The 11,156-nt window shown below is 51.2% G+C and overlaps 1 protein-coding gene across 24 annotated transcripts in view, besides 1 other annotated feature; it reads right to left on the bottom strand.

The window, feature by feature from the left end:
• Positions 1-11,156, bottom strand: part of PIK3CD (phosphatidylinositol-4,5-bisphosphate 3-kinase catalytic subunit delta) — a 101,857-nt gene that overhangs the window by 76,539 nt on the left and 14,162 nt on the right. For 19 of the 24 annotated variants that reach the window (XM_047422552.1, XM_047422576.1, XM_047422562.1 and 16 more), the window contains exon 1: positions 774-845. The exons of the other annotated variants lie outside the window; for them this stretch is intronic. The gene's annotated coding sequence lies outside the window, so the exon portion shown is untranslated. Of the gene's footprint in view, positions 1-773; positions 846-11,156 lie in introns of those variants that run through there. 24 annotated transcript variants of the gene reach the window in all.
• Positions 43-932: a silencer, noted in NCBI's record as "silent region_228". NCBI's record gives its function as "represses an Ori minimal core promoter by ATAC-STARR-seq in GM12878 lymphoblastoid cells {active_cell/tissue: GM12878}" and the evidence as "EXISTENCE:reporter gene assay evidence [ECO:0000049][PMID:35858748]".

The raw sequence follows: 11,156 nt of genomic DNA, 5'->3' as shown, positions 1-11,156 counted from the left end.
AAAAGTCCGGAAATGCAAAGCTGGGGGCGGTTTTGCCGGCGTAACCCCGGCTCGGCCGCAGATCCGGAGCTGATCTCGCCTGCGCCGCTGCAGCAAACGCGGCGAGCAACGCGGGAGGCCCGGGACTGGGAGGCGGGGCGCGGGTCCACGAGCCGGGAGGAAGCCCCGAAAACTTCCACCCCGGCCCCTCTGCAGCCCCGCTCCCCACTTGCCCAGGCTGGGAAGGGCGCACAGGACCCGGGCGCCGGCGAACTGTGCGCAGCCCTCTCTCCGCGCCAGGGCACTCGGGCGACATCACCAGCGCGCTCTCTGTGGACCCCGCTGCCGTACAGAGGAGGCCCCTGGTCCTCTAGTCAGCGCTCGGAGCGGGCGCACGCGCTGAGCGCTTCCAGTATCCTCGCGCCTCAGCCGGCGCACCGGAGGCCGCACCGCCGCTGTGAGCGCAGCTGAAACCCCGCTGCCGGGCCAGGCGGGCAAGGCGCGCAGTGCAGGCGCCGGGGAGCTGCGCACGCCCCTCTCGGCGGGCCCACGGGGGACGGCCCCGGGCCTCTAGGGCAGCCCCCGCCCAGGTCCCAGCAGCCCGGCCCCCGGGGCTCCCAGGACCCGGCTCGCTAGACTCGGGGAGGCGCCCAGGGCCAGGGCGCACGGGCTGTGTGTGCCGGAGAGACGCCCGCCAGCCAGCCCCGCGCCCCCGAGCGCAGCCGCAGCTCCCAAAGCCCCTGGCCGCGGTCCTCTTCCCACCTCCCCTGACGCAGCCAGCGGCGATCGCTTACCGTCCCGGCGCAGCTGGCAGGGCTGGGCGGCTCTGCTCGCGGCCGCTCGGAGCGACTGCGCTGGGCGCGAGTGAGCCTCGAGGGAGGGAGGCGGGGCGCGCCGGGGCGCCCCGCCTGCCGCCAACCCGCACACTCCACTTCCCACTTTGTTTCCTTTTCACTTGCAACAGGAAAAACAACAGGTCCTCCAGGGCCTCGCCTTCCCCCGCCGCCCACACTCCCCAGTTCGCCTACCGCTAGAGGGGCATCATCCCAGGTGCCTCTGGAAGCTGCACCTTGCTTGCCCTTCTACAAAACAAGTTTTCTTTTTATGCAAAGGAAAACAACGAAATAAAGGTCCTAGGCGCCTTTAAGCGCTCCGCCTTCACGCAGGAAAGAATTTCAGCAGGAGCGGGAGAAAGGCTGAGAGCAGGAGAAGAAGAGGGGGTAACCTGCAGCTCTAGGCACCCAGGGACCCCAAGCGCCATTGCGAGGTGACCAGTGTTGGGGCTCAGGACACACACCCAAAATGTGACTATGGGAGACCAGCGTGTGCCACCCCAAAATATACTTCTTCGCCATATTTTGAAGGGATTATTCTTAGAAACTGCAGGCACAGGAGTAGATCTGAAAAGCTGTCCTTTTGTAAAATGATTTCTATCTATAAAGAAAATCTCCAGGCCTGGCACTGTGGCTCACTCCTGCAATCCCAGCAATTTGGGAGGCCGAGGCGGGAGGATCACTTGAGCCCAGGAATTCAAGCCAGCCTGGGCAACATAGGGAAACCCCCGTCTCTACAAAAAAATTAAAAATTAGCCAGTCGTGGTGGTGCACACCTTGTAGTCCCAGCTACTCGGGAGGCTGAGGTGGGAGGATGGCTTGAGCCAGGGAAATGGAGGCTGCAGTGATCCATGATGGCACCACTGCACTCCAGCCTGGGAAACAAAGTGAGACCCTGTCTCAAAAACAGAAAAGAAAAGGAAAATCTCCATTGGTAAAGTATTAGTATCAGGCGGAGGGCTGCTCAGAGCTAACTTTTCTTACCTGAGAAATTTTATCCGCATAAGAAGACAAGCTTCATTCACCTTACCCTCTCTCCCCTCACTCTCCCTTAACTTGTGTACCACCTCCCCAGGATCCCAAGCCTCTATTCCTTTTTTTCTTTTCTTTTCTTTCTTTTTCTTTTTTCTTTTCTTTTTTTTGAGACAGTCTTGCTCTGTTGTCCAGGCTGGAATGCAGTGGTGCCATCTCGGCTCACTGCAATCTCTGCATCCTGGGTTCAAGCAATTCTCCTACCTCAGCCTCCCAAGTAGCTGGGATTACAGGCACACGCCACGACACCCAGCTGATTTTCATGTTTTTTTGTTTGTTTTTTGTTGTTTTGTTTCTTTGTTTTGTTTATTTTGAGGAATCTTGTTCTGTTGCCCAGGCTGGAGTGCAGTGGCGTGATCTTGGCTCACCACAGCCTCAGCCTCCTGGGTTCAAGCAATTCTCCTGCCTCAGCCTCCTGAGTAGCTGGGACTATAGGTGCACACCACCGTGCCTGGCTAATTTTTGTATTTTTAGTAGAGGTGGGGTTTCGCCATGTTCACCAGGCTGGTCTTGAACTCCTGACCTCATGATCCACCCGCCTCAGGCTCCCAAAGTGCTGGGATTACAGGCGTGAACCACCACACCTGACCCAAGCCCTATTCCTTTCTGAAGGAATGTTTCCTGTCCCTTGTAGGATGTTATATGAGCTTTATTCATCTGAGCCTTCATCCAGTCTTGTATTTTGTGGGATTCCCATGCATAGGTCTTAGTTACACATGGTTTTTCTCTTGTTAATCTGCCTTATGTAAATTTAATGTGGAGCCCAGCCAAGGAATTTAGAGGGTAGAGGGAGGCCACTCTCTCCTCCCCTACAGCAGGCATGACTGAGAGGCTCGGGGAGACAGCCCAGGGCCTAAGTCCCTCCTTGCTCAGCCCTGGGTTGACAGCAGCGACCTCCAGGCTTTGGTGGACCAAGAGTATGGGGGTGGTGGGTGAGCCCACCCCTGAGATTACAACAGTGGCTTCATGCCCTCCCAGGATAGGGTGAAGGGTGAGCCAGTCAATTGCTTAGTGAAACAATGGCTTAAAGGACCCTCTTCAATCCAGCCTGGGAAGTAAAGCAGCTGTTATTGGTCCCTTGGACAGATGAGGGATCTGAGGCTTAGAGAAGGACTTTTTCTACCCAAGAGATGCCTGGGCCTCTCAGGACCACCTTGGGCCCCGTGCTGGCTCCAGAGGCTGCAATAAGCAGAGGCCCAGGCCAGGCATGATGGCTCAGGCCTGTAGTCCCAGCACTTTGGGAGGACGAGGCTGGAGGATCCCTTGAGGCCAGGAGTTTGAGACCAGCCTGGGTGATATGGCAAAACCCAGTCTCTACAAAAAAATAGAAAAAATTAGCCGGGTTTAGTGGTGTGCACCTGTAGTTCCAGATTCTCGGGAGGCTGAGGTGGGAGGATCACCTGAGCCCTGGAGGTTGAGACTGCAGTGAGCCATAACTGTGCCACTGCACTCCAGCCTGGGTGATGGAGTGAGATTCTGCTTTGAAAAAAAAAGAAAAAGAGCGAGAGAGAGGCCCAGAGGCCGTTATTCCAGCCAGGAAAGGGGAGAGGGCTTGGGTAAGATGGAGTGGCTTGCTCAATTGTTCCAGTTTTTTTTGTTTTTGCTTTTTTTGTTTGTTTGTTTGTTTGTTGAGACAGGGTCTTGCTCTGTCACCCAGGCTGGAGTGCAGTGGCATGATCTTGGCTCACTGCCACCTTGGCCTCCCGGGTTCAAGCGACTCTCATGCCTCAGCCTCCCAAGTAGCTGGGACTGCAGATGCGTGCCACCATGGCTGGTTAATTTTTGTATTTTTTAGTAGAGACGAGGTTTCACCATGTTGGCCAGGCTGGTCTCACACTCAGGCCTCGGGTGATCTGCCCGCCTCAGCCTCCCAAAGTGCTGGGATTACAGGCATAAGCCACTGCGCCCGGCCTGGTCCAGGTTTTCTAAGATGCAGGCTGCAGATTCTGTGTTCTCCAGTGGACACTTGCAGAGGAGCCAGGAAGGACCACAGGTCCCTTTTGGAAGGAACGTTGGGCCTGTCCCCAGGAATGCACACTAGTATATCCTTTCTAGTGGAGTGTCTGAGGCTCACAGCCTCTTGCTTACCCCAGGCTCAGATTACTGAGCCTTAGCAGCGGTCTCTAGCCTGTTTCAAGGATGCCAAGAGCCAGAAGACAAATGGACGTTTCAGAAGGAACTCTGACGGCCGAGTGAGCAGCCTGTCCTGAGGGAGCGGCCCGTCCTAAGGTTTCCTAACACCTGGCCTTAACCATGCTTTTGCTAGGCTGCACTTTCAACGCTGCCCTCTGGTCTTTAGAGTTTGTTTCAAGAAACAGCCAGATGACGAATGGTTTTGCATCTTCCAAAGGAATTCTTCATTGAATATGTATTTGCTGACAGCAATTCAAATCATGCTTTTTACTATGCAAGATGCTGCCGGGAGAATGGAGGCATGCCAAGTTGTCAAGCGCTAAGATGTGCCTTACATATTGTTCTCTTTGATCCCCATGAAGGAAACCAGAATATGTCCCCCCAAAATATACCTCTTTGACGTAAATATTTTTGAACTTAAGGCAATTAAGAAGCAGCAGGCAGATGAAGAGATCTTTCTATCATCTCCCCTTTTCTGCCTGTTAAATAAAATTTGCAGGAGGCCATTGATTGGGACAAGACCCCTGTACCGGGTCCAACAGACCAAACCAATATGGAGTCATTCATGGTAAATGAAACTAATTAACTTAAGAGTATATACATGTAGCAAATAGCTGAGTTTTTGTCAGTTATAGCAGCTGAGCTTTAGTAGATCTTAGGTGGCCAACTGATTCAAACAAAGCAAACACTGTAACCAATTAAGCTCTATAGCTTACTTCTGTTTTACATCCATAAACACTCTGACTGTGTTACTGGCTGAAGCCCTTTGAACCTGTCCTGGTTCTGAGGGACTCCCAATTTTAGACTCATTAGTAGGCCAGGATGACTCACACCTGGAATTCCAACACTTTGGGAGGCTGGGGCTAGAGGATCAAGACCAGCCTGAGCAACATAGTGAGACCTCATCTTTACAAAAAATAAAACATTAGCCAGGCATGGTGGCATGTGCCTGTAGTTTTAGCTACTTGGGAGGCTGAGGTAGAAGGAGGATCCCTTGAGCCCAGAAATTCAAGGTTGCAGTGAGCTGTGATCTCACCTCTGCAATCCAGCCTGGGTGACAAAGTGAGACCACGTCTCTAATAATAATAATAATAATAATAATAATAATAATAATAATTAGAATCATGAATAAAAGTTAAGATCTGTAAACTAGATTTGTTGTAATCTTAACTTTTAAAAGATGATTATTGTTTTATTATTATTTTGAGACAGGGTCTCACTCTGTCACTCAGGCTGGAGTGCGGTGGTGCAGTCTCAACTCACTGCAACCTCTGTCTCCCAGGCCCAAGTGACCCTCCCATCTCAGCCTGCCAAGTAGTTGGGACTACAGGCATGGGCTAATTTTTTTGTAGAGACAGGGTTTTGTCATGTCACCCAGTCTGGTCTCAAACTCCTGGACTCAAGCAATCTGCCAGCCTCAGCCTCCCAAAGTGTTGGGATTACAGCTGTGAACCATCCTGCCCTGCCAGTCTTGACTTTTTTTTTTTTAGACAGAGTCTCACTTTTGTAACCAAGGCTGGAGTGCAATGACACGATCTCGGCTCACTGCAACCTTCACTTCCCATCTTCAAGCAATTCTCCCACCTCAGCCTCCCAAGTAGTTGGGACTACAGGCGCCCGCCACCATGCCCAGCTAATTTTTTTTTTTTTTTTTGAGATGGAGTCTCCCAGGCTGGGGTGCAGTGGTGCGATCTTGGTTCACTGCAACCTCCGCCTCCCTGGTTCAAGCGATTCTCCTGCCTCAGTCTTCTGAGTAGCTGGGACTAAAGGCGTGAGCCACCAAGCCCGGCCCTAATTTTTGTATTTTTAGTAGAGATAGGGTTTCACCATGTTGGCCAGGCTGGTCTCCAACTCCTGACCTCAGGTGATCCGCCCGCCTCGGCCTCCCAAAGTGCTGGGACCACAGGCGTGAGCCACCACACCTGGCTCAGTCTTGACTTTTTACATGCCTAAATACAGGACATAAATTCTACTTTACTGGAGACAACGCTTATCAGCTCGGAGACACCAGAAGAGTCTACAAACAAACCTTCCTCCATTCCTTTTCTCCCATATGTTTACCTTCCCACAGTTCCCCACCTCTGGAAGCCTAAAACTGCTTTCCCTTGTCTTGTCACTTCTTGAAAATTCATTCTTCTTTGTCAAAGATTCTGGGTAAGCCAGAGTTCTGAGCCACTGCTTCGGGTCACCTTTCATTGAGGTTTCTGCCTCGTGATGTGCACTGCATCTGTTAATAAACTTGCTTGGTTTTCACGTGAATCTGTCTTTTGTTACGGCGGGCTGTCCCAACTATGAACTTACCGGGGCTGAGGAGAAGTTATATTTTCTCCCTGATACGTACAACCGCCCAGCAAGGTAAATCTTATCCCCAATTTACGGATGAGAAAACTGAGGCTCAGGAAAGTTGAGTCCTTTTTCAGGGCCACACAGTCTATAAATATCTATTATAATAACTTCTTCCAGATCCTTGCTACTTTCACCATGCCATGGGTCTCGTTAGGCCTCTGTCCTAAGAAGTTTCACTTTCGGCCAGGTGCGGTGGCTCCCGCCTGTAATCCCAGCACTTTGGGAGGCTGAGGTGGGCGGATCACCTGAGGCCAGGAGTTTGAGACCAGCCTGGCCAACGTGACAAAACCCCATCTCTACTAAAAATAAAAATAAAAATAAAAAAATAAAAAATAAAAAATAAAAATACGGCCAGGCACAGTGTCATGCCTGTAATCCCAGCACTCTGGGAGGCCTAGGCAGGTGGATCACCTGAGGTCAGGGGTTCACGACCATGCTGGCCAACAGGTGAAACCCCATCTCTACTAAAAATACAAAAAATTAGCTGAGCATGGTGGCGGGCACCTGTAATCCCAGCTACTCAGGAGGCTGAGGCAGGAGAATTGCTTAAACTCAGGAAGTAGAGGTGCAGTGAGCCAAGATCATGCCATTGCACTCCAGTCTGGGCAACAAGAGCGAAACTCTGTCTCAAAAAAAAAAAAAAAAAAATTAGCCATTCCTGGTGGCAGGCACTTGTAATCCCAGCTACTTGGGAGACTGAGGCAGGAGAATTGCCTCAGTGAGCCGAGATCATGCCATTGCACTCCAGCCTGGGCAACAAGAGCGAAGCTTCATCTCAAAAAAATAAATAAATAAATAAATAAAATAAAATAGAAGTTTCACTTTCCTGAAAACCTGATACACTTCCTTTTTGAAACCGTGACCCTAGGGACTTATCATGACCCTCTCTTTTGCTTGGGGTGCCAGGAAGCTTAAGCTAAATTTAACATTCAAGCTGGGCAAGCGGTGGCTCACGCCTCTAATCCCAGCACTTTGGGAGGCCGAGGCAGGTGGATCGCCTGAAGTCAGGAGTTTGCGACTAGACTGGCCAACAGGTGAAACCTCATCTCTACTAAAACACAAAAATTAGCCAGGTGTGGTGGTGGGTGCCTGTAATCCCAGCTACCGGTTGAGGCAGGAGAATCACTTGAACCCAGGAGGCGGAGGTGGCAGTGAGCCGAGGTTGCGCCACTGCACTCCAGCCTGGGTGACAGAACAAGACTCCGTCTCAAAAAAAAAAAAAAAAAAGAAAAGAAAAGAAAAGAAAAGAAAAATAGGCCTGGAGATCTGGGCAAGCTCTGCGGAAGGGCCTGCAGTGTGCTTCTGCCCGTCCAAGCCTGTTCTCCACTGACCAGCCCCACCCTTTAATGACTAACACCTCTTTTCTCTTCCATCAAATGGGGCCAAAGTATTTCCCAATCAGTATTAATTTCCTGAGAAAGGAGCGGAAGGCCCCAGAGCTGATGTAAGTAATGCATGTTGGTTGACTTTCTTGCAGCTAAGGGGCCATTTTTCTTCTAGGATTGCTGTCCATTCTCCACTGCAACTAGTTCATTTTTTTTGACAATTCAAAGGGAACTTGAGGTAGCTTCCTCCAAGGCACACATGACAACAGTTAAAAATAAAGCTAGAGAGCTCAGAAACTGCATAGAGGAAGGCAGCAGCCGATTCTATCAGGAACTTGAAGAACGATGATGGCTGTTCTTGAAGGTTACATATTTATTTATTTATTTATTTATTTATTTATTTATTTATTTGAGACGGAGTCTTCCTCGTCATCCAGGCTGGAATGCAGTGGTGAGATCTCGGCTCACTGCAACCTCCGCTTCCTGGGTTCAAGTGATTCTCCTGCCTCAGCCTCCCAAGTAGCTGGGACTACCTACAGGCGCCCACCACCACGCCCAGCTAATTTTGTATTTTTAGTAGAGACAGGGTTTCACCATGTTGGCCAGGCTGGTCTCAAACTCCTGACCTCAGGTGATCCTCCTGACTCAAGCCCCCCAAAGTGCTGGGATTCCAGGCGTGAGCCACCACTCCAGCCCAGGCTTTCTTCTTTCCTGTAACCCTCTCCTGCAGAACGTCCCTGCAGAACTTCCCCTCCAAAAGCCAAGCAACTCACAGCTTCTTCTCACAAATGCTGCAAACATTTTTGTTTTGCTCAACCCGGAGTGGCTTCACCACCACCACCCACGCATGCCCATAAGAAGGGTTATCACAGGGCAGCCACTCTGAGCACCCAGGGAGTGGGGGCTGCAAGTGTGAGAAGCCCACTTCTTCAGCCCCTGCACAAGGGACTCCAGACACTGCCTCCATGCCCCATCCTGGCAGGAAGCCCACTTTGCTGGGTGTGGGTCTTTTCCTTCCAGGCGAGGCAGAAACTACCCAGCTCGAGTCTTTACCCTTTGCTTTGGCCAGGAAAAGTATAGTGAAGCTTAGGGGTTAAGAGCACCTTCTTTGGAACCAAACTGCCTGGCCCTGCCACTGTGGAGCTGTGTGACCTTAGGTGACTTAACCTCTCTATGCCTCTGCTTCCTCATCTGTAGCCTGGGGACACTAATAATGGTGCTCAACTTTCAGAACTGCTGTTGGGATTAAATGAATTAATATATGTAAAATGTTTATAACTGTACCTGACACAGAGGGCACCCTCAGAAAATGTGAGTTTTTGAGCTATCTTAGTTATATTCTAGAACGGCATCTTTGGGCTTTGCAGGATTGGATGTTTCTGCTCTAGAAGAGTTATTTATTTATTTTTTTAATCTTTCTTCCCTTCCTTCCCTCCCTCCCTCCCTCCCTCCCTTCCTTCCCTCCCTCCCTCCCTTCCTTCCTTCCCCTCTCTCTCTCTCTCTCACTTTCTGTCTTTCTTCAGGTGGAGTCCCACTCTGTCACCCAGGCTGGAGTGCAATTGCGTGATCTTAGCTTACTGCAACCTCCATCTCCCAGGTTCAAGCAATTCCTGCCTCAGCTTCCTGAGTAGCTGGGTGTGGTGTCATGCACCTGTAATCCCAGCTAATTTTTTGTATATTTAGTAGAGATGGGTTTTCGCCATGTTGACCAGGCTGGTCTCGAACTCCCGACCTCCGGTGATCCACCTGTCTTGGCCTCCCAAAGTGCTGGGATTACAGGCATGAGCCACCATGCCTGGCCTTTCCTTCTTTCTCTTTCTTTTCTTCCTTTCTCTTCTTTCTTTTCTTTTCTTTGAGACAGGATTTTGTTCCCCAGGCTGGAGTGCAGTGGTGTAACCATGGCTTGACCTATTGGCTCTAGCAATCCTCCTCCCATCACAGCCTCCCAAGTAGCTGGGACCACAGGTGTATGCCACCACACCCGGCTAATTTTTTTATTTTTGGAGACGAGGTCTCGCTATGTTGCCCAGGCTGGTCTTGAACTCCTGGGCTCAAGTGATCCACCTTCCTTGGCCTCCCAATGTGCTGGGATGACAGGCATGAGCCACCATGCCTGGCCAAGAGCATTTTTCAATAGCAGCAACAGCAGGTTGTGACACGCTAGTGTGCTGGAGAACCATTCAGTGGGTCAAGTTTTTTTTTTTTTTTTTTGAGACAGAGTCTCGCTCTTTCGCCCAGGCTGGAGTGCAGTGGCACTATCTCAGCTCATTGCGAGCTCCGCCTCCCGGGTTCACACCATTCTCCTGCCTCAGCCTCCTGAGTAGCTGGGACTACAGGCACCCGCCACTGCGCCCGGCTAATTTTTTGTATTTTTAGTAGAGACAGGGTTTCACCATGTTAGCCAGGATGGTCTCGATCTCCTGACCTCGTGATCCACCCGCCTCGGCCTCCCAAAGTGCTGGGATTACAGGCGTGAGCCATGGCGCCCGGCCAAGTTTTAAAAAAATAGAACAGAGGCTGGGCACAGCGGCTCACGCCTGTAATCCCAGCACTTTGGGAGGCTGAGGCAAGTGGATCACCTGAAATCAGGAGTTCGAGACCAGCCTGGGCAACATGGTGAAACCCTGTCTCCACTAAAAATACAAAAATTAGCTGGGCATGGTGGTGCATGCCTGTAGTCCCAGCTACTCAGGAGGCTGAGGCACCAGCATTGCTTGAACCCGGGATGTGGAGGTTGCAGTGAGCCAAGATCGCACCATTGCACTCCAGCCTGGGCAACAGAGTGAGACTCTGGTTCAAAATAAACAAGTTAATTAAATTAAATTAAATTAAAAAATAGAACAGAAAGACAGTGTCAGGCTGCACTCCCTGTAGTAAGGGCGGGTGTTGCTTCCCCAGGCTTTGGTTCCATTCCTAGGTGTGAATGTGTGTGAAGTCAAGATGTCAGATGCATTTCTTACTGTAGGTTCCAGTCAACACAACTAGAAAGCTGCTGCCCTGGATCACGTGAAGTTGATGGCAAAGAAAGGGTGGAGCAGATGGTTAGAGAACAAGGCCAAGGTCAGATTCCACTCCTAGAAAGTCTGACTTGCAAGAACTCAGGTTCCAAGGAGGGCTGAGAGGTGGCCAGGTGGGAATACCTGGGGAAAAGGAGCTGGGAGTCTCTGGCCTTGTGCCCTCCATCCCCAGGTTGTGACCGATGGGCTGGAGAATGACTTAGAGGGTCAGGGGTTGTGGGTTTTGCAGGTGGAGGGGATGGTGCCCCTTATACTTGATTCTGGGCCAGAGCAGACAGCGCAGAGGTGGCCAGGTGCTCCAGGACTCCAGGGCTGGTGAAGATTGTGTTTCTGGGTCCAGCTAGATGGGGGCTCCCCAGAAATTCTTTCTGTAAAACACACATACTCAAAACCCAGGCTACCTAGGGTTCACATCCCTGCCCCACCATCTGTCGGCTGTGTGACCTTGAAGGAGTCACTTCTGCCTCAGTTTCCCCATCTGGCACAAGGGA

Source organism: Homo sapiens, chromosome 1, assembly GCF_000001405.40.
Source record: "Homo sapiens chromosome 1, GRCh38.p14 Primary Assembly".
Taxonomy (NCBI): domain Eukaryota; kingdom Metazoa; phylum Chordata; class Mammalia; order Primates; family Hominidae; genus Homo; species Homo sapiens.
This window is presented reverse-complemented; position numbering and strand designations above follow the sequence as displayed.